The sequence below is a fragment of the Homo sapiens genome, chromosome 13 (genome assembly GCF_000001405.40).
Source record: "Homo sapiens chromosome 13, GRCh38.p14 Primary Assembly".
Classification (NCBI taxonomy): domain Eukaryota; kingdom Metazoa; phylum Chordata; class Mammalia; order Primates; family Hominidae; genus Homo; species Homo sapiens.
In genome coordinates this window covers 88,142,625-88,166,984 of record NC_000013.11, presented here as the reverse complement: position 1 = coordinate 88,166,984, position 24,360 = coordinate 88,142,625, and the positions used below count along the sequence as shown (strand labels likewise).

General features: G+C 40.2%; 1 long non-coding RNA gene across 1 annotated transcript in view; it reads right to left on the bottom strand.

Annotated features, from left to right (window-relative positions):
• The window catches only part of LINC00373 (long intergenic non-protein coding RNA 373), a 93,216-nt gene extending 69,098 nt beyond the window's left edge, over positions 1-24,118 (bottom strand). The window contains exon 1 of the long non-coding RNA NR_131919.1: positions 23,885-24,118. This is a non-coding gene — a long non-coding RNA (long intergenic non-protein coding RNA 373). The remainder of the gene's footprint in view (positions 1-23,884) is intronic.
• Positions 24,119-24,360: the final 242 nt, after the last annotated feature.

Here is a 24,360-nt window from a genome sequence, read left to right as displayed (position 1 = left end):
GTGAAAAACAATGTTTACAAATAAATAACATATACACTGGTGCTCTTGCAAATTGTATTGACACAATTTCACTAGCTTGTTTCTGAAAACTTTCTCACATTTAAGTCGTGAACCATCTTACCTCATTGTTGAGAGCTGCTTTCCCTTTTTACCTATACTATGCCAAAAAGGGCTTCATCATTTTATAACTTTATATATGTTATTTCCTGATTCATTAAGAGAAAGGACAATATTATAAAGGTGAATCCCATTTGAAGAGTAGCCAGTATCAGTTATAAGATCTTAGAGAATGGCAAATAATAACATATTAGCATATTGATGCATCAATTACATGACCTCCACCTATCATTAAAAGTATAAAAGATAAAATTTAGTCTCTTGTTTGAAATGTTCTCCTTACAGTAAATTTTTATCATATTTTATATTACGACTTACTGTATGTTACAAATAAAATTTGGTAAATTATACAACTTTCTATTTACTAAATATATCTTGAGTGGAATGATTCCAAAATAATCATTAACTTTGTTGAAGTTGTTAAAGCCTTTAGCTCTAATGACCTATTTACAAAAAAATACAAGACACAGGTATATATAATAAAGAAGATTGCAATCAGCAAAATCCAGAGCATGCAAAACTGACAGACACAATGAAAACCAACTGGCTTTATTTAATAATCACAAAAGAATGAAAAGAATTTTTAAAAGAGAAAGAGAAAAAGTCTATAAACTGAGACCTAATAAGCACATCTACCAATGGCAATGTATAGACCTTATTTGAATGCTTATTTAAGAAAAAACGCTGCCAAAGTTATTTGCAATAATCAGAAAATTTGAACACTGCATGTTCAATGATATAAAGAATCAATCTTTATCCATATCCAGCTTAAATATTTTTGGTTAACGTTGAGGACAATTAACTTTTTCCTGTTTCTCCTAAAGTAAAAATGTCCAGTATCTGGTAAAATCTTACCTAAGAGTTCTGCAGCTCCATTACAAAACATCAGATTAGTGGTTTTCTAATACTATAATATTCACTAGTGGCATAAAACAGAAATTCTTTCTTTAAGTGTGTTCAATCTGGTTGCTTAGGAAAGTTTCTGCTTATGTCCAACATCATCTGCTCTAAAACGTATTCCAAGTTAAGTGCTGCAGAAAAATATTCTTTTTTTACAGGGAGAAAATAATATTTTAAAAAGGAATGAATAACAAATATACCCACCATACCTAATTTACTATTTAATGTTTGTAATCAGCTTAAATTTCTGCACAGACAAATATGTGATTATTTTAAGCATATGGAGTTCAGCTTAATATGTCTCAATGAGTTTTTTAGCCATAACAAAAGCTATCTTCTACTATATAGCTGGAGCTGAAAAGATATCAAAATTCAGGTTCTACTCCTTAAATTTAAAATAGAGACCAAGAAACTCTACTTGCTTAGGGTCACAACTAGGACTAGATTCCAGACCTAATCCTAGACCATTATTTTTCTAACACAGTATAACTTATGTCAAAGCTCTCTGTATGATCTATCATTTCTGGCTTTAGGTAGGAGAGAAAAGAGGGAAATAAGTTAAAGTTCCAAAATAATTTTATATTACTATTTCTAGTAAAATGTCAGCTGGGTAGCCTCAGAAAAAGGCTACATTTCAATAATTAAAATTGCTAATATTCAGTATTAGCTTCTATACTTAAATAAAAATGAATCATGTCCTTTGCTTGGTTTGAATATTGTTTGTGCCCTCAAACTCATGTTGAAATTGATTGCTATTTTGGTACGGTTTTGAGGTAGGGCCTAATGGGAGGTATTTCGGTCATGAGGGCAGATCCCTTGGAAATAGTCTCAAGAGAGTGAGTTTTCACTATTGCGGGGCTGGATTAGTTAACACAAGAGCAAGACGTTATAGATCAAGGTGAGGTTCCTCCTTAGGTTTGTTTTCTCTTTGTACATACTCGCTTGCTTTTCTGCCATGTTTTGATGCAGCACATAGTACTCAACAGAACCCAAGCAGATGCTGGTGCCATGTTCTTGGGCTTTCCAGCCACCAGAATTATAAGCCAAATAAAACTCTTTTCTTTATGAATTACTCATTCTCAGGTGTTCTGTTACAGCCAAACAAAGAAAACTTGTAACAAGGAGTGGGATTATTGCTATAAAGATACCTAAAACCTTTGAAGCAGCGTTGGAACTGGATAATGAGCAGAGATTGCAAAGGTTTACAGGAGTATGCTAGAGAAAGCCTGCATTGCAGTCAGTCAATGAAGCATTACAGGCAGTTCTGGTGGGTGCTCAGATGAAGAATTAGAACTTCTTAGAGACTGTTTCAGTGGTTTTGACCAAAACGCTGAAAGAAATATGGATAGTAAAGACATTATGAGGTTACAGACGAAAATGAGGAGTATCTTATTGAGTAATGAAATATACCACACCCTTGTTATATGGTTGTAAAGAACTTGGTTGCAGTGGGGCCAAACCCTAGTACTTTATGAAATGAAATTTCAGAGTGATAAACTAGAATTTCTGGCAGAATAAATTTGAGGGAATAAACTGCTCAAGAAGCTCTATAGTTACTGCTAACTGCTTACATGGAGCTATGGGAGTAAAGGGATGATCTAAAGGCAGAATTTATAAACAAAAGGGAAACAGAGACTAAAAACATAACCGTGTGACGAAAGATATGTTCAGGAGATTGTGCCAAAACTGTGGGCCCAGTGACCATTTTGTGCTAAGGAGAGTAGCACAGATCAAAGGGATCCAGGTGCTGTGTAATCAGGACATTGGAAAGGCCTAGAGGCCTGAGAGAGCAAAATTTATTTCAGGGGACAGAACCAAGGCACTCTTCATAGGCTTAGTGTCGAAGGCCACCCCAGGACATTGTATCCCATATTCTAGTCATTCTGGTTGCTCCAGCCATGCCTAAAAGCAGTCTCAGGAGTTGATCAGGCTGCTGCTTCATAAAATATAAGCTGTAACCCTGGGTAGCACACAGCCATAGCTCATGTGGGCCAAGGTATGGCCTATTTTTCAAATCCAGAGGGCAGAAGCAGTAAGCAGGTGCACTAAATATGTTGGCTGTGGGGTCCTGGGAGCTTCCACCTAGCTATTAAAGGATGTAGTAAACAACTGGAAGGCCCAAGCAGAAATCTGCCACAGGGGCAGAGCTGCCACAGAAAATCCCTTCAGGGCAGTGTCTAGTGGAGCCATGGGAACAGGGCTGCCCTTGAGACTCAAGAATCATAAAGCCACCAGCAGCATGAAACACCTGCCTGGGAAAGCGACAGGTTCTCTAGGACAGCCTGTGAGGACAGCCATATGGGCTATACCCAGCCAATCCTTGGGACAGGGCTACCTGAGGATTTGAGAACCTAATCCTTGTACTAGTGTGTACAGAAAACACACTGAAAATTTATTTTGAGGTTTTAAGATTTAATGTCTGCCTTCCTGGATTTCAAACTTACATCGGGCTTGTCACTCTTTTGTTTTGGCCTATTTATCCCTTTTGGAATGGGAATGTTTACCCAATGTCTGTATCACTGTGTCTTGGAAGTAAATAACTTGTTTTGTTTGTTTCTGTGTTTTAATTTCACTGGCTCTCAGATAGGACTTGAACTTTGAAGTTTTAAGTTTGTGCTGAAACAAATTAAGACTTTTAGTACTATCGGGATGGACCAATTGTATTTTGTATCGTAAGAAGGATGTGAGTTTCAGGGGCAGAATGCAATACCTTGAATATGGGTTTTCCCCTCCGAAAATCATGTGGAAATTTGACTGCCATTGTGGCAATGTTAGGGGGATGAAGCCTAATGGGATGTGTTTGAGTCATAGGGGCAGATTCCCCAAGAATCACTTAATCCAGTATCATGAAAGTGAGTTCTTGTTCTTGTAGGGCTGAATTAGTTAATGAGAGACCAGGTTTCATAAAGCAAAATTCCTTCTCTTGCTTTTTTCTTCGCACAGAATTACTTGGCTGCCCACTTCTCTACAATGGCTTGAAGCACATAGCCTTCAAGAGAAGTCAAGCAGATGCTGGCACCATGCTCTTGGACTTTCCAGCCACCAGAATTTTGAGCCAAATAAGCCTCTTTCCTTTATGAGTTACCCAGTCTCAGGCATTCTGTTATAGCAACACAGTTTTGGTACTAGGAGTGGTTCTAGATAAACACAATTTTAAGAATAAATCTTAATTGGTTTTAGGGTTTCTGGAATTGGCTCTCTGGTATGATTAGATCTAAGACTGCTAAAGACTGTATTTCTAATAGTACAGAGAACACTGACAGTCCACAGCATTAACTGTTTATAGAAATATGCAAAATGAATGCATTTGATACTCCTAATTCACCACTTAGAAGCAGGAAATTTGGTGGCTATATATGATACTTTCAAACACTTATGGAAAATCAGGGAACATAATTATATTGGTTGGTTGCTCTAACATTGCTGGACAAATTGATGAAAGAAAAAGATGAGCTCAGGGATTCAAATTATTGGCTCCAGATGTGCATAAATAGCCTAAAAGCTTCTAAATATGCCCTGAAGAAGAATCTTCTCTCCTGTAGTCATAGGGTTGAAATTGCTGCAAATCAAACATAAGCCTTCATTATGCAATTAATTGGCTGATGTACAATGAAAGGCAAACTTTCAACCACTCAGGGTATCTACTGTTAAACAAGAACTTTGGGAAACAATAGGACCCTGTTGGGATGAGGATGTGTGGGAGGACAATTATGACGCTGCAGACATTGGGCTTCTAAATTTTTATTAGTGTTTTTTGCCAGAGGAAGTAGCCTCCCCACCTCCAATACCATCCCCAGTGGTATTAGCCTTTCTACTTCTTTCTGAGGGAATTAACCATGCATTTCCTAGGGAAACGGTAATGGCTTCCCAATTCACTCACCAAGCAACACAATGCTTCTTTTCTTCAGGACCCATCTCCACCACCCCTTTTTGCTTCTAGACCTATAACTACACTCAAGTCCCAGCAGACACTCAAAGGTGTGGTGCACAGTATAATTCATAAGAAGGTATGCTACACTCCAGAATAACTACTTAAGTTTTCTAATTTATACATTCAGAGATCCATGGAGCTTATGTGGCAATGGATATTAAGAGTGTGAGTAATGGTGGAAAAAAACATAAAATTGGATTAGCCTGAATTTATTGATATGGACCCACTAAGCAAAGATTCTGCATTTAATGTTGTAGCTCAGGGAGTTCAAAAAAGATGCTAATACTTTAGTTGCTTAGCCAAAATGCGGATCAAAAGTGGCCCGACATGGGTAAGATGAAGATGCCTGATCTCTCTTGTTTTAATGTAAGGAAAGGGATTCAAAGGCTTGCGGAGATTGGAATGTTAGAGCAGCTTTGTCACATAAAACCTACCCAACCACACTGGGAGAGTTCAGAAGATATGATTTTCACCAATACTTTGAGAAATAGATTGATGAGGAGACTACCAACATCCTTGAAGCGCTCTATGACTGTTCTTTTCTATATGCTAGACTTTACAATGGGAACTGCAGTCACTCAATTGGAAAGCTTACATCTAGTGGATGTAATTTTATTTCTGGGTAGCAGGGCCCAGGTGGCAGTACTCAGCCACCTAAGGCAAGGTGGGTATAGTTAGCAAAATAAACAGTAGAGGCAAAGGAACAGTTAAAATATTCTGACTCATTCAGACCTATGATGCTAGCTAATAAACATAATGTTGCTAGAAGTGAAACAGATGAGAACCCTACTGCATTCTTACTTGATCTGTGTAAGCAGAAAACTCCCAGTTCAAGTGAACAAAAGTCTAACTCAAAGGATAACAGAGATCATGGCCTTTCAATCAATTTCCAGACTTGAGCCAGCTTGCAGACCTCTAAATGAAAGGGAAGTCCTTAAAGAAGGACCTGGGTACAATACTGAAAATTTATACTGTTAATTTTTGTCCAAATCCTCACCCAAAGGGACCTCCAGCATTTTACCAAGGTAACTGTGCATTGAAAAAAGGGAAACAATCAGACATTCTGAGGACTTCTTGACACTGGCTCTGAATTCATACTGATTCCAGAACACAGAAAACATCACTGTGGCCTCCAATCAGGGTAAGGGCTTTTGGAGGTAAGGTGATCAGTGGAGTTTTAGTTCCAGTATGGCTTACAGTTGGAACAGTGGGTCTCCAAACCTATCCTGTGGTCATTTCCACAGTTCCAGAATGTATAATTGGAATAAACGTATTTATCAGCTGCCAGAATTCCCTCACTGGTTCCCTAACGTGTGGAGATGAGGGATATTATGATGAGAAAAGCCAAATGGAAGGCATTAGAGCAGACTCTACCTAAGAAAATAGTAAACTGAAAATACTGCACCCCTGAAGGGATGACAGAGATTAGTACCACCACCAAGGACTAGAATGACATGGGATGATGTTCCCCACTAACTCTATTGTAAGCTCAACCAAGTGACGACTTCAATGGCAGCTGCTGTACCAGATGTGGTTTCATCGTTTGGGCAAATTAACACGTCTCCTGGTACTGATATGCAGCTCTTGATCTGGCAAATGCCTTTCTCACAATCCCTGTCCATAAGGCCCACCAGAAGCAGTTTGCTTTCAGCCAGCAAGGCCAGAAATATACCTTCACTTGTCCTATCTTAGAGTATATCAACTCTCCAGCCCTATGTTATAATTTAGTTTGCAGGGGCCTTGATTGCCTTTCCCTTCCACAAGAAGTAATGGACCACACTGGTCCATTACATTAATGACATTATGCTGATTAGACCTAGTGAGCAAAAAGTAGCAACTGCTCTGGAGTTATTAGTAAAAGATTTGTGTGTCAGAGGGTAGAGAAATAAGTCCAGCTAACAAAATTCAGAGGTCTTTTACTTCAGTAAAATTTCTAGGAATCTCATGGCATGAGGCATGTCCAGATAGCTCATCTAATGTGAAATATAAGTTGTTGGACCTGGCCCCTCCTACAACCAAGAAAAAGACACAGTGCCTACTGGGCCTATTTGGATTTTGGAAGCAAAAAATTCCTTATTTGTGTGTGCTACTCCAGCCCATTTATCAAGTGATCCAAAAGCTCCTAGTTTTGAGTGAGATCCAAAACAGGAGAAGGCTCAGCAATAGATCCAAGCTGCTGTAAAAGGTGATCTGCCACTTGGGCCATATGATCTAGCAGATACAATGGTAAGTGAAGTGTAAGTGGCAGACAGATATAAACAGCATGCCTGTCACTGACACCTCATGTACCACTATATCTGCTAGATCATATGGCACTGTAGGTGAATCACAGCAGAGGATTTTGGAGCAAGTCCTTGCCATCGTCTAGAGTTAACTACTTTCCTTTTGAAAGACAGATCTTGGCCTGCTACTGGATCTTCATAAAACTGACAACTTGACCACAGGCCACCAAGATACCATGTGACCTGAGCTGCCCATCATACATTGGGTGCCATATGACCCACCAGGCCATAAAGGTGACATGCACAGCAGCACTCTGAGCAGGTCCTGAAGGCACAAGTTACATGAAAAGGTGGCCAAAATGCCCATGGTTCCTTCCCATAATACCCTGCCTTCTTTTCCCGGCCTGCACCTATGGTGTCATTGGAATAGCTGAGAAAGGTAAAGAAGACTAGGGCCTGGTTTACAGATGGATAAACCCAGCACTGCAACCCCATTATGAGACATCCCTGAAGGACACTGGTCAAGAGAACTCTCAGTGGCAAAATTTTGGCCAGTGCACCTGGTTTCACACTTGGCTTGGAAGAAGAAATGGCCATATGTGCAATTATGGTTTGGCTGGATGGTCAAGGACTTGAAAATAACATAATTGGGAAATTAGTGACAGAAATTTGGGAAGAGTAATGTAGAGTCTGAGTGGGCAAAAGGTACCTATATCTCATGGGAAAACTCTCCAAAGGGTGATCTCAGTAGAGAATACTTTTAATAATCAAGTAGATAGGATGACCCCTTCTGTGGGTACCAGTTAGCCTCTTCCTTTGGTCACACTAATCATTACCCAATGGGCTTATGAACAAAGTGACCAAAGTTGCAGGGGTGAAAGCCATGCACGGCTTCAGCAATGTGAACTTCCAGTCACCAAAGCTGAAGTGGCTATCACTGAATGCCTAATCCGCCAGCAGCAGAGACCAACATTAAGCCCTGACTATGCCATTATTCCTTAGGGTGATCACCCAGCTACCTGGTGGCAGGTTGAATACACTGTACCAACTTCATCATGAAAGGAGTAAGCATTTTGTCCTCACTGGAATAGTCATTTACTCTGGAAATGGATTTCCCTTCCCTGCAAACAATGTTTCAGTCAAAACTATTATCTGCACACTTACCCACCATCACAGAAGCCCACACAGCATTGTTTCTGGCCAAAAAACTCACTTTACAGCAAAAAATGATGCAGGAATGGTCTCATGCACATGGAATTCACCGGTCTTACCATGATCCCCAGCACTCTGAAGCAGGTGGCCTGACAGAATGATAGAAAGGCCTTTTGAAGTCAGAGTTAAAGCACCAGAGAGGTGACAATGCTTTGCAGGACTGGAGCAAGGCTCTCCAGATGGCTCTATATTCTCTGAATCAGATATGGTGCTGTCTCTCCCATAGCGAGGATTCAAGGATCTAGGAATCAAGGGATGAAAATGGGAGTGGTACCACTCACCATGAACCCTAGGGACCCACTAGTAAAATTTTTCCTTCCTGACCCTATGACATGTTCTGCTGACCTTGAGATCTTACTTCCAGAGGGAGGGAAGCTCCCACTAGGAAAAACAACAATTATTCCATTGAACTGGAAGATTGCCACAGGCCACTTCAGGCTCTATGCCTCTGAGCCAATAGGCTAAGAAGAAAGTAATGTTGTTGGCTGGAGAGATTGATTCAGGAAACCAAGGGGAAATCGAACCATTGCTCTACAATGGAGATAAGGAAGAGTAACTCTGGAACACAGAAGATCCCTGACAGTGTTTCTTAATATAACCATGCCCTGTAACTCAGTTCAATGGGAAACAACAATACTCCAATCCAGGCAGAACTAATGGCTCAGACCCTTCAGGAATGAAGATTTGGGACACTTCACCAGGTAAAGAACCATGACCAGATGAGATGCTTGCTGAAGAAAAGGGGGAAATAGAATGGATAGTAGAAAGTGGTTACAAATACAAGCTACAATCACATGGCCAGTTAAAAAAATGAGGACTTTAATTGTAATAAGTATTTCCTCACTGTTTTGTTAAGATGTTTGTGTATCTATACATACGTATTAAATAAATATCTTTGATTTTTCTCTTATTTGTTTATAAAGGAACTTAAGACTTACTGACTTTTTATCACTACTTAAGTATTGTCAACTTTATGTCTTAATATTTAAGTTATAGGACGTCAATAGAAAAGTAAACCTCACTCAAGAACTTTACCTCCTTCTGGGAAAAGAATTGGCATGTTTTGGGTTGTACACAGGATAGTTATATTGTGTTAGGTGTAATTATGACCTTGTCATTGGCTTTATTCAGAATTAACTATGCTTTACGAAGATGCATATAGGTGTCATGTTGACAAGAGGTGGACTTGTGATGGATAATTTTATGTGTCAATTTGGCTGGAGTAACAGATGCTGGTGAAGCACTGCTTCTGGATATTTCTGTGGCAGTGTTTCCAGAGAACATTGCTGTTTGAGTCAGTAGACTAAAAGAAAGAGCTACCCTTCATGTGGGCAGACACCATACAATTGGCTGGTGATCTGGCTGGGACAGCCAGGCAGAAGAAGGGCGATTCTCTTTTTGCCCTCTCTCTGTCTTCCAGAGCCTTTTCTCCTCCTGCTCTTGGACATAGACTCTAAGTTCTTTGGCTTCTGAACTCTGGGGTTTGCACCAGCAGCTCCCTGCAGGCTGTTGGCCTCAGATTAAGGGCTGCATTTTTGGCTTCTCTGGTTCTGAGGTTTCCAGATTGAGCCATGCTACTGATTCTCTGGTTTTCCAGCTTGTGGATGGCCTAACATGATACTTTCTTCACCTCTGTAACAATGTGAATTTCCTCTAATAAATGCCCTTTCACATAACTTATTGATTCTGTTTCTCTGGAAAACCCCACACATGACCATAAAGACAAGTACCTCTGTCATGACTTAACTGTATTATGTTAAGTAGGTCATGTCACCTCTCAGCATCAGCTGCATCAAGTACATAATAAGATGCTTTTTAAGGTAATTGCCATCACTGATGATGATTCCAAATTATAAAATTTAGATAATTTTAAAGTTTCTTCATATGTCAATTTAGGTAGTAGAACTGTCACTTAAATTTTAATAGAACAGTAAGCTTCCTGTTATATATGCAGAGGCCAATAATTAGTATGTTATTAATTTTTTCAAGTCTTCCTCTTCTGTAGACTGTAATATTGCAATATACTCCTAACTAGCTCTCCCCTGTGGACTGTCCATACTGCTGCCAGGATGGCTTTTTACAAATAGAATCTCATTAGGCTAAAAATCCTTTTATGGCTATGGCTTCCCCAACATTTGTAGAATAAAATCCAAAGCCTTAATGTATCATAGAAAGTGCTTTGGCCCAGCGTGGTGGCTCGCACCTGTAATCCCAGCACTTTGGGAGGCCAAGGCGTGTGGATCACCTGAGGTCTGGAGTTCGAGACCAGCCTGACCAACATGGAGAAATCCCTTCTCTACTAAAAATACAAAATTAGCCGGGTGTAGTGGCACATGCCTGTAATCCCAGCTACTCGGGAGGCTGAGGCAGGAGAATCGCTTGAACCCAGGAGGAGGAGGTTGTGGTGAGCCAAGGTCGTGTCACTGTACTCCAGCCTGGGCAACAGGAGTGAAACTCCGTCTCCAAAAAAAAAAAAAAAAAAAAAAAGTGCTTTGCACACTGGTTTCCACCTGCCCCTCAAGCTTCCTCTTGACTGCTTTCCACATTTCTGTATCCTCAAATCACTTTATGTAAACTCACTGACATTTTTATAGTGTAGGTAACTTGAAACAGATAACCCAAATTTTGTTGATTATCTTTTATGTTTAATAGAAACAAACAAAAATTCTAGGACAGAAAAAATTTGCAGTAGACAAAAATTCACTCTACTTTATCAAAATTACTGCCAGATTCTGATTTTAGCTACATTTACTGTTTACAGAATAACATGGCCAGTCAGCATCACATTTAAAAACACACAAACACAGACAAAATCCTGCCAATATCTCCAAAACAATCTACTATACATAAACCTGGAAGGTGAAGAGGGTCCGTTTTTTGCCTAATTGATACTGCCTTGGTAAGGTATCATGAATCTATAAAGGCTGCAACTATTTTCAAATACAGGTTTTTGGTCTTTTCCAAATACATTAATAGCAGTTTATTAAAAAGCATAATCCCTGTTATATGACAAATGATATTCCATGTGCTAGGATACAATCATGAACAAAATAAAGCGCTTGTTCTTTATGGACTTTCACGCTATGGAAGGATGTAAACAATAAAAATCAATAAAGATGTGTTAGATCAGTACTAGGAAGAAAATAAAGTAAGGTAAGAAAGAGAAAGATATTTTAGATAGAAGTCAGAAAAGACCTCTCTGATAAGGTGATATCTAAACAGAAATCTGACTAACAGGAAGAAGCCAGTCCTGCAGACATCTAGGCAACAAACAGAAGGAGGAAAGGGCCTTCAGAGAGGGGAGTTTGTGGTGACCCAACAGGAGGGAATCCTGCAGGGCCTGAGTGGTAAGAGTAAGGGAGAAAATGGTAGGAAGTTAAATCCTAGAGGTAATGGATGTATGGCTTAGGGTAAAGACAGGGCCAAAACAGGTAAGACCTTGTAGCAGTTACCAGTTATGCACAAGGCACTCTATTTTTGCCTTATATAAATTATTTAGTCTTCATAGCAACCCTATGAGGTAGATATCATCTCCATTTGAGAGATGGAAAACAGATTTATAGAGGTAAAACAAAATTTCCAAACATTGTATTGTAAAAGGCAGTACTGGGATTTGACCTCATGGTCTACGTGATGTCAAGGCATTTAGCAGGCACTAACATATATATGTTTTATGAATGCCTTATATATGTATTTTTTACCAATAAACCAGTTTTTAGCTGCCTGTTTATACAGGCTTACGGGTTAAATACTTTGTAAACAGTGTAAATTAACAATTTGGCTTCTGCTGAATAAGAAATTATCACCTACTACAAAGTTAGGGTAGGCATAGAAATGAAGCAAGATTTTAGCTAAACAAAAAGAAATAAAATAAGGTTTCAAAATGTTGCTACTATCATATAATTCCTCACTGTAGTAAATTGAAACTTGGCAAAACTACAAAGAAAAGAAAAAAACATAAAAAGAAAATGGGACATAGATTTTAGTAAGCGGATAGAATTGAGACGACTTAATCATCAGCTTTGTGGTTGTCTTAAAAAATGCAGAATATGCCTTTATTTGTATGTCAAAATTTGGTTATCTGTTTCAAGTTACAGTTACAGTGTAAAAACTTTTAAGCTCTGATTTTTGTTGAGTATATTACTTCCTTCATTTATAGGATATTTTGCTAGAGAAATTAAAGTTATCATTGCCCTTAAATTAACCTAAAAAGAAAAACAATCATGCCATTATAATAATAAAGAATTGAGAGGAATTATGATAAAGACACTGCTACTTGAAATTGCCTTCCTACTTTTATAGAGAAAATAGAATGCGTAAGATGAAAGCATAGATAAGTTGCTAAATGATATTAAAACTCCACTTAATGCACTAGTCATAAATTTTAAGTATGTCATTTGGAATTTATCTTTTGCATTGCAATAAATATAAGGAATGCAGGGAACCACTAAAGTGTATTTGCTTGTAGCATAGTTTTGTTACATAGCTACTAGCAATTTAAACATCTTTACCGTGAAAATTGCTAACATGCACACAAAGTCATTACTACTTGTATATTTCCAATACAAAAACATATGGATAATTTACCACTTCCCCATTACTATAATTTTAGCTTAAAATAATCAACAAGAATTTTTTATGTTGTTGGATTTTGTTTTTTTAATTATCATAATATTTTTAAATTGCAGATACTTCATAAACAAGTATAACACAAGAAAAATAACTGTTGCCAGTCTTCCAAAAAGCATGTTAGCAGTTTTGAGGTAGGAGGCAGGACTTAACTCCAGAAGTGGGGCTCAGATTGAGGACCAGCTAAAACAGGGCCAGGGCTAAAGCGGCTTTCATTCAGACACACCCACCAGTGTGCCGTGTCAATTTACCACTGCCGTGGCAATACCCAGGAGTTACCACCTCGTTCCATGGCAATAATCCAATGACTCAAAAGTGACTACCCCTTCCCTAAAAATTTCTGGATAAACCACCACTTAATCTGCATGCAATTAAAAGTGAGTGTAAGTATGACCGCAAAACGGCCCTAAGCTGCTACACTCTGCCTACAGGGTAGTACTGCTCTGCAGAACAGTCACGTAGCTGTTAACACCCCTGGAGCTGTAACACTGCCTCTTTAGTAATGCTGTTTTCTTCTACCTTTGGCTTGCCTTTGAATTCTCCCCTGGGTAAAGCCAAGAACCCTCACGGACTAAGCTCCACTTTGGGGCTCACCTGCCCTGCACCAGCTTGACTCCCGATGCAGGGTGAAGACAGAAGACAGTGATTGGTGATCTGGGAGTGGCAGCCTGTAAGGACAGTGATGTGCAGGATGGCCGTCTTGAGAAGTGGCAGTCAGTGATCAGCAAGGGTAGTGGTCAGCAGGATAGCGGTTGGCAGGGCAGCAGTTGGCAAGGCAAGGAGGGGAGAGACAGAGAATCAGGGCTATATCACCTGAGCTCTAACACTACCCAAAGGCTCTCTTCAGAGCCATCATTTACCCTGGCAAACAGTGGAACAAATCAAACAGGCAAGTAGCCATAGTACCATCTGCCTCCTGTGACACCCACCTCTCTGACAGGCAGCCCAGTGGGTTACAGACCTGTACAGGTCTCTCCCACCACAGCAGCTGAGCCCACTGGTGGGGCAGCCATAGAGCCATCTGTCTTACGTGACACTCGCCTCTCTGACTAGCAGTCCAGTGGGTTACCATCCATGCAGATTCCTCTAACTGAGACAGCTGAGCCCCACTGGGTGGCTGGTCAGGGTGGCCATAGTGCCATCTGACACCTGGGGTGGCCATAGTTCCATCTGCCTCATGTGACACCTGCCTCTCTGACCAGGATGGGTTACTGTCCAGTGCAGGCCCTTCCCACCATGGCAGAGGTGCTGAGGCCACCCAAGTTGAGGTACCTTGGAGAGATCTTCACATGGAAGATCAGTCAATGCCATTTGTGTCTGCTGAATGAGTGAGTCTCCCTTCTGCCCCCACTCCATAGTATCAGGAGAACTAGGGAATAAAGTAAAAGCCGTCAGCTAGGTGATTAGTTAGGCATCCATGATTGTTTGAATTTCCCAAATCATGTTCTTATCACCCCTTCTCCTGGTCCTTTTCTGACCCCATTGTATTGTCCCTGTATTAGTCCCTTCTTACACTGCTATAAAGAACTACTTAAGACTGGGTAATTTATTAAGAAAAAGAGGCTTAATTGACTACAGTTCTGCAGGCACAACCAAAAGCATGACTTGGAGTCCTCAGGAAACTTACACTCTTGGTGGGAGGAAAAGGGGAAGTAAGCATGTCTTGCCTTGGTGAAGCAGGAGAGAGGGTGAGTGAAGGGGGAAGGGCCACACACTTTCAAACAACCAGATCTTGTGAGAACTCACTCAGTATCATGAGAACAGCAAAGGGAACATCTGTCCTCATGATTCAATCACCTCCTACCAGCCTCCTCCTCCAATACGTAGGGATTAAAATTTGAGATGAGATTTGGGTGGGGAGACAGAGCTAAACCATATTAGTTCCATCAGTCATTTTATTTTCAGTCCCAAAATGTGTGCAGTCTTATGTTTTCTCTTAACTTTCTGCTAATTGTGTGTAGACAATTAAGGCAGGACACTTGGTTATGTGAGGACCCCTTTGTGTTGACCCTGGAATGCCAGAGTCACATTGTTCTGTGACTCCAACTTGGTGTTAGGTTCACTGTTGGCTGCTCCCTGGGTGCCCCAGGGTTTTCGGTGTTTGGTGAGGGAATCCTCATTGGCTGAAGCTTGGGCACTCCAAGTTTTCAGCATGGGTATTTTGGTCACCTCCACCCCACCAGATGCTCTGTGGATTAGGTATTGACATTCCCTCTAGGATTGTGGATTATAGCCTCTCCTCCAGGGGAATATTGATCTTGCCTTTTCTGCTCCAAAGTTAGAAATATTATTTTCCTAATAGCCAGTTGTTAGCCTCTTCCTGTGTGCTGTCTTACAACTGCCTTGCTCAAGTCTCTCTTGGTTAAAGAAATTGGGAGTTTCCAGGCCCCTGGCCTGACAGACAGCCACCTACAGTGGCAGAAAGGTGGTCACCTGAATATGTTTTTTTCAGTGTCTCCACTACTGGGCAAGTTCCCTGGCAAGTCAGGGCCTCTGAGGTCTCCCCTTGGGCAATGCTATTTACCCTTCCCATCCTCCCTTCCAGAGTCACCATTTGCTTAGCCCCTCCCTCTGCATAACCCGCTGCTTTCTGTGGAATTTAGGCTTAACATCCAACTGCCCATGTGAAGCTAATAATCTGCTTTTGTAACATATTGCTATTTATAGAAAGTGGGAAAGTAAAAGGGAAAATAAGTAGGCATTTGCTAAACTTGGTCTAACTGAAACCCTCCATAGGGATCCTTACTAACATGGGGACAGCAGGGAGAACCCCAGAGGACTCACCAGTGAGGTATTTTTTAGGCTATTGGAGCAAATTCAAATTTGGCTAAAAGAAGAAGAAACTCATTCACTACTGCAATAATGTCTTGGTTGCATACATATTGGCAAACCAACGGATTTTGCCTAAACATAGTTTTACATGTTATAATGATATTTTACAATTAGACTTATTTTGTTTAAAAGAAGAGAAATGGGAAGAGGTTCCTCATGTGCAGGGTTTTATGGTCCTTTGCTGGCTTACAATACTTGCAGGCACCAAAAAGCCATTCCCAGTGGATCCATTCCTAGTTGTTCCCCCTAGAATAGCTACACCCTCCCCAGGGTCTCCTTAGTTCCCCATTTCTGACGGTTTCCTGACAGTTCTTTAATACAGGATTCCACCTCACGGTCATCAGGCACACCTCTCCCTTATCCAACTATCCCTAGCCTATAACCCCGCTGCCTAAGAAAGTAAGCCCAACCAGTACCACCAGGACTGGAGCCCCATATCAGCTCTGTCAAACCTGTTTCCGTTGTGGGAGGTAGCTAATGGAAGTGAGAGAACACTTAGAGTCTATGAGCCATTTTCCATGTCTAATTTGGCTTTACAAAAGAAAAAATTTGGAGTTTTCAGAGAATCCAGAAAGCTTTTCTGAGGAGTTTGTTAAGTTGATCATGTTCTTTGGTTTAACTTGTCATGACTTACAAATATTATGTTTGATATGCTGTGAAAAAAAAAGCAAGAGAAAAACTGTGTGATTAAGCCAGTCAGTTATGACGAGGTTAGAGAAATAACTCAGGGCAAAGATGAAAATCCCCTTTCTTTCAGGGTCATTTGGTTGAGGCATTAAGGAAATACACTAACACAGACCCTGACTCTGCAGAAGGGCAAGCTCACCTGGGTATACATTATTCAATCTGTCCCTGACATTAGAAGGAAGCTCCCAAAAGCAACCATGAGACTTCATACACCTATGAGACAACTTTTAAATGTAGTAGTTAAAGTTCACAACAGTAGGGACAAGGCAAAAGAGAAAAAAACAAAAAGACCAAAAGAAATAGCCAAAAAGTATAATTGATAACAGTTGTTTTATGCACCTTCCCCACTGAAGGTTACCCATCTTAAGAAAATGTCATGAAAGTGGTGTCTGGGATGCCCAGACAAGAGCCACCAACTCACTGACCCCCAGATCAAAATTAGTGTGCCTACTGTGAGCAAGATGGCCATTGACAATGAGAATGTCCTAACTGTCTCTGGTGAGAGAGAGGAAAAATAGTGTCCCATCAGTACTAGAGCTAACCTTCTTCCACTAGCCCCAACAAGCTGCCTTGAACAAGTAAGCTTACTGAGAGTCTTAGACCGTTGACCCAGCAGACAGCTTCCTACAGTGGCAGGCAAACAGCTGCCCAAATATTTTTCTTCAATATCTCCATTGCTGGATGAGCTCTCTGTCGCTTGGCAACTCTTGGGTCTCCCCTTGAGCAATGCAGTTTGCCCCCTCCTTTGTTTATTTGATGCCCTGGGATCCCCTTCCCTGCCTCTTCATGTTTTCTATATTTATTGTGGCAAACAAAATTTGACCAGGTAAACAGTTCTTAATTATGTAAATAATTTGAATCTATTTGTCTTGTATAGGTCATTTTATTTAATGTGCTCGTTTAGGTGTATATACAGGTATTGTGATATATGGCGTATCCAGCATGCTATCAAATTGGCTTATAAACAGAAGAGCATTCATAAATAAGACTAGTCAAAGCTTATTAGTTTGAAGAGAATGTTATTTCTTCTGAAATTTAACCTTAAGATTTTTATGTAGGTAAATCAACTATTTTTCATAGGCTTTAAATGTTTCAAATGGCTTTAAATGGTGACTAGCTGTGCATAGTATACTGGTTCTTAGAGGTGGTCTAGATAAAACTGTTAAAAGTGAAAAAGTCAAATACATGTAAATGGAATAGATGCATAAAAAATGAAATTACTGTGTGGTTCTTAAAATGGTCTTAAATATTAAAATGGTAGAACGGTTCTCATCTATAGAATGCCAGTGTCTGATGGACACTTCAGAGCTAAGTCTTACTTGGGGTTATATAAAATATGCCAAAGAACTGTTTTCTTTAATGGGAATTTTTTTTTTCTAATTCAGAAGTTATTAAAAGGGAGGCTGAAAATGTGAGAGAGCCAGTAAGTAGATAAAAGAGTTATAAAGATTGTAATGGATAGAAAATGTATTGTTTTGCAAGGAAGTATATAAAGAAAGAATAATTTAATATGAGGAGGGATCTTCTGTAGTAAATTATTGTCCTAGAGTGAAATTGCTGGTTAAGAAAGAGGTAGTATAGGACAAGTCCAAAGTTCAAGAATGTTGTAGATCGTCTGCGTAAGTTATGATACAGTTCATAAAGGGCGATTTATGAAAGAAATTTTGTGTATAATTAAATTTGCTATGATAAAAGAAAATTGTGGTTGACATTCTACAAATCGGTCTATATATCAGAAACAAATTTTCTTAAGGTATTAATTTGCTAAATTACTAGAAATGTTGCCTTTCAATCACACAATCTATGTAAGAGCTTCTCAGATTCATGGAACTCTTTCCTTTAGCATTTCTGTCAGCTCCTGTGAGCTTTTCTCCTCTAATTATGACTGCTGCTATAGCCTGATGCTAAACTGTTTTGTCTTAGTCTATGGGACCACTGTTTTCTCCCAATATAGCTTAATTCTATGCTCATTGTTTTCCTTGATGTGTGCCATTATTTTGGCTTTTGGTTTTTGACTTTTATATTGCTTAAAAGGGTTCTGGTGACTAATGGGTATCTGCCCAACTCCATTCCTTTTGATCTATGGTTTTTGTTTTATATTCCCCCTTTTAATAAGAGTGTGCCAGAGGTAGTGTTGATGGCCAAGCTTTTATTTTGTCCTGTGCCTGTGCTACAGTAGCGTGCTGCCTACCCTAGGTTCTTTGTATCCCTCAGTAATACCTGCAACCCCTGGCTGGGGGACTTGGAGTCAGGGGAATTGTAGCCAGTTGGATGTTCTGGGCTGGACAAGAGTAGAAGTGGGTGGACACTCATTGCCTCTTGAACCCATTTAGAGCAGTGAGGGAGCCAAAAACTAGGAGTCAGGAAATGAGGTTCTAAAACTGACTTCTCCATTGATTCTGGATTTAGCTGCTGTGGTATTGGCTTGTAGTAACTAGTTCTACAAACCTTTTCCCTCACCTTTAGAATGTAGGCAATGTTCTGAAAGCTTTCCCATATAAAAATAAAATACTGCATTCCCCGCAAAGGAAGAAAAAGCTCATCTATTCAATCAGGAGACTTAGTCTTGCTAAAAACTTGGAAAGAAGGATCTCCTAAAGATCAATTACAACCGAAATGGAAGGGTCCCTTTCAGGTTTTGTTGAGTACCCCCACTGCTATTAAATTTCAGGGAATAACTAGTTGGGTATATTTGTCCAGGATTAAACCTGTTTCTTAGGAGTCACAGGCACAAAAGGAGGGCACCAAAACCTACAGCTGTGAGCCTTTGGAAGACCTTGGCTACCTATTTTTAAAACATCAACATTCAGCCAGAAGTGGTAACGTGATACTGTGGGTGGGAATAGGAACTTTAGTTTTTCTCTTCTTCCTGAGTGTAATACTTCCTTTCTGTAGCTTTAGCTAATCTCAAGGGAAACACCTCCTTTGTCCTTGTTGGGTGTAGAAGCCACACTAAGGCCCATCTTAAAACCATGTTGTCACTGTTCATCTTGTTCGTTCTCCCAATTACCATGATCCAGTATGGGTGGGGACATAACTCTATAGTAAATATTTCAACAATTATTGCATCAGGGAATCATCTTATTTGTTGGTTTTATCATCAACATTCCCAGGATACAGAATTTTATCTTCTGGTTTATCTGGAAAATATGACCATTCCCCCAGACCTCCTAACTAACCATAGCAATCCCAAAATATCCAAACTTCTACTTGTTAAATGGAACTCTTCCCCACTTAATGGACTCCACCTGAACACCCCGCCAACACCACCACTATTTCCTGGATGTGGAAAGCTGGGTATCTCTATCTCCAATGCACTAATCATTCTACCTTTTTAACCCACTATTGCATTAATGACACAAAAGTGGAAGCTTCCCTTCAGTGCTCTCATCCAACTTCAGTTGCCAAGTTCCCAAGGCTGCAGCAAGGTAAATGAGATTCCACTTGTCAGCAAGGAGACCATGTGCGGTGCCTTCTTCCGGACCAGAAAACACAAGAAAAAAACAGTTGCCTAGTTTGGAAAGGTGGGAGTACTACACCTTCTAGAAAACGAAGATTGTCTGACCACCCCATTAGAATGGGAGAAAAACATCTCTATAGACCCAACTTGGCAGTAAAGAATAAACATCACAACCTATAGAGCTTTTGTGTCCCAACTCGGCATATTTTTGTTTGTGGCAATAAATGGGAAGATGTCACAGCCTGTAACTGCTCCCAACTCCATAGAGAATCACCTGTTCTCTTAGTAGTAGCTTTCCCTTGTATATCAAAAACTTGGAGCAGAAGTGAATATTTGTTGGCCACCCTTGCCCCTCCAGAGGTCACTGTCTATAATCCCATAAGACACAAACATACCGGAAGTAAGCAAGCAATAGGATTAGTTCTGTCAGGAACCTGGGCAGTGATAGGACTAGCAGTACCCTGAGGCAGCTTTGCCTACCATGAGTTAACCCTAAGGAACTTGACTCAAACCCTGGAAGCCTGAGCCACTGACACAGGTCAGGCATTAAAGGGAACTCAAGAGTCTTTAGATTCTGGCAAATGTAGTTCTCGATAACAGACTACACTGGTTTATTTACTAGCTGAACATGGCGGAGTCTGTGTAGTTATTAACAAAATCTGCTGCACATATATTAAAAACTCTGGACAAGGTGAGATTAGCATTCAAAAGATCTGTGACCAAGCTACCTAGTTACATAGTCATAACCATGGCACTGATCCCAAATATAGCCAGTCAGCTATCAAAAGTGTCTTCCCAAGTCTCACCTGGTTTTTACCACTCCTAAGATCTTTTGACAGCCATCTTGTTGTTACTAAGTTTTGGTTCTTTCTTGTTTAACTTCTTAGTAAAATTTGTGTCTTCTAGATTAAACAGTTCCAGGTAAAAACAATGCTTGCAAGAAGCTTCCAAACCATCACATCTACTGACCTGAAGAATTAAAACCATCCTGCCTCTGGGCCCCTTAGATCAGGTATCCAGAGATTTTTACTCCTCCGGTGCTGGGCAGGACGTATGCCCATGGACCTCCACCTTTCTGCAGCCCCTTAAGATTAAGGAGAATCTAATCTCTGAGGGAGAATGAGGTAGGTGGCAGAACTAGACTCCAGAGGTGGGGCTAGGACACCAGGCCAGACTGAGGATGAATTGGCAGAAATATGAGTGTCAATCAGACACTGCCACCAGTGTGCTATGTCAATTTATCATTGCCAGGGCAACCCCTGGGAGTTACCACCCCTTTCCATGGCAATGAGCCAATGACTCAAAAGTTACTACCCTTTACCTAACCACCCTTTATATCCACTTTTAATTACATGCAGATTACATATGACTGCAAAACTCTCCTGAGCTGCTATGCATCTCTGCCTACAGGGTAGCCCTGCTCTGCAGGAGCAGTCACAGACCTGTAACACCACTGGAGCTGTAACACTGCCTCTTCAATAAGGCTGTTTTTTTCTGCCTCTGGCTTGCCCTTGAATCCTTTCCTGGGCAAAGCCAAGAAATCTTGTGAGCTAAGCCCCACTTCGGGCTTTCATGCCCTGCATCAGTTTTAAGAACTGAATTATGGCGAACTTAACTAGAAACCGAGTTGAAAGTAAGTTTACAACTCATACGGCATTTAGTTTCTCCTGAAAAGAGCCAGGGGTGGCGTTTGATAAGATCTCAAAACTAATCCAGGTCATCCCTGGTGTCCAAAACCCAGGAACAGGATAGTACTACCTTCAGCCACAATAACTGTTAGTTAGCAACTAACTTAATTTTTTAAAATACTGAAACGATAAAAGTTCCCTTGTTCCCCTCACAGGGTGTGCGATGTGGGCGTGGCTGGCTTCTTCAGTGCCCAGCTGCTCAAACCTCAAGGGGAGCATACAGACAGGCAGGCTGTGAGGCTGCGACCCCACGGCAGTGTCTAAGGGTGAATGTTTACAGCTCCTGAAGCCCCAGTGGGCATGTGTTAGAGGCTGCTCTTTTAGTTTAGCCATCCGTAGGTGGCTTGTGTTAAGCAGCTCACTTAGACCCTCTACCTTGTCATGAGGACAGAAGGCTTTCTGTATCCTGAGTTCTTGCCTTGGTGTACTGGAATAATCAAATCACACGTGGCTTGAAGAATGAGTAGGTTTTATTGAGTAAAAGTAGCTCTCATCCAGATGGGGGAGCCAGAGGGAGATGGTTTTCCCCTGAAGTCCGGCCGCTCAGCGGCCAAGCGCTCCTCCAACTGCCCCACCCAAACTCCGGGTCATTCTGCCAGTCAATGGCCTGCCAGCATCCAGGTACCTGTCAATGCATTCCTCTCAATGTCTAGCCACTTGTGGGTTCCCCTGCCGATGTGTTTCTCTCAATGTCTAGCTGTTTCTATCTCTGCCTTGTTAGGGTCTCGGGTTTTTATAGGCACAGAATGGCGGCATGGCAGGCCAAGGTGGTCTTGGGAAATGCAACATTTGGGTAGGAAAACAAACTGCCTCTTCTCACCTAGATCTGTGGGGTAGAGCCCTAGCCAGGGACCACACCCTCCTCTCCCCAGCACTTCCCTTCCTCCCTTCTGTATCTTTTAAAGGGACAACGCTCTTCCCCTCCCAGCACTCCCATATCAATACCGGAGGTTATAAGTGAGATTTAAATGCATTCAGTGCATGCTCAAGTCTTCATTTTATTATTTATTATTTTCTTAATAATAGCTAACATTTGAGTAATACAATGTGATAGACTTGGTCTTTTCTCATTTAATGTAATGAACTTTTCTGTGAAACAGTTATTAACAGTCTTATTTGGAGAAACTTAAGGCTCAGTGAGATAAACAAACTTGCCCTCACGTATTGGTCTTCCTTGGGATGCAATAACAAAATACCATATAATGAGTGGCTAAAACAACGGAATTTTATTTTCTTAAAGTTCTGGAGGCTGGGAAGTCCAAGATTAAGATTTTAGCCAATTTGGTTTCTGGTGAGGGTTCTCTTACTGGCTTGTAGATTTGCCTTCTCACTATGTTCCCACAGAGCACCTTTCTTTGGCTCACCCACTGAGAGTGGGGGGATGATCTGATATCTCTTCTTATAAGGACACTATTCTTATCAGATCAGGGCTCCACATTTATGATCCCGTTTAACTTAATTACTTCTTTAATGGCCTCATCTCCAAATATAGCCAGACTGTGAGTTCAGTCTTCAATACGTAAATTGTGCAGAGACAAAAACGTTCAGTCCAAAACACTTCTGTCACCTACCTAGAAAATACGTAGTAACTTTTTATAATACTTAAACATTAGAAGTCAGCCACCATATAGTTTTTATGTTAACTTCTCATTGGAGACTTGGGTTAAGTAAAATGACTTTAACAGAGTCGAAGATATTAGAAGAAATTAAATGAATCTGAGATGTATGAACTCTCAACCAAGCTATTTAAAAATATTTAATATTTATTTTAGGATGGTTACCATCCTAAAATAAGGTTGGATACCAAAAACTGATATTAAAATACCTGCTATAGTACACAAGTAGAAGAAGTAAGACAGGGGAAAAAAAAAAAAAAACACAGGCAAGATTCAAACTCATAGAAACAGGCCAGTGATATTATTTATAGAGCTCATCTTTAATGTTAATACCTAAGCTACAAGTAGGTTATCATAGAAATCCTTAGACAAGGCTGAGACACTTATTAATTTGAGATCACTAAGACAACTGAAAGGGGTAAAAATGAGAACAAATATAAAGTCTTAATGACATGGAAAAAGCTAATTTAAAGGTACAGAATAAATTTTCCCATATTAAACTGCTGCATATATTTGGAAATTAGGAAGTTTTTCAGACTGAATAACACTACAAATAATTTAAGAACATAATAGTACAGAACAGTACATACCTGCATGCCACACAATGTTTCCAGAGTCCTCCAGGCATGAGACAGTTCAGCAATTTCAAGTCCCCTCTGTTCTCACTATAATTACCAACAATTAAATCTTCGTATATGTCCCCTCTACCAACACCACTCACAAGTGCAAACTAGATCATGTTCATACAGATACTTTAGTAAATAACGAGCCTTCGATGTGACAAATACACAGGCTGCCAAAACCTACTCAGGTAACCTGTTTTTGTTTGTTTTTTGTTTTGGTTTTGGTTTCAATACTGACTTTACCAGATGAACACAGATTCCCCACATGTTGGCTGAAGGCTACTTACTTGTAAGCATCTAAGACCAAATAAGAGTTGAAATTGAAACAACCTCAACAGTTCCAAGACAGTATTTTTTGTTTATTTTTTATTTATTTATTTATTTAGTAAACATAGAAATTGACCCTTCTGGTCTTACAGCTTAAAACTTACATTTGTTTTATC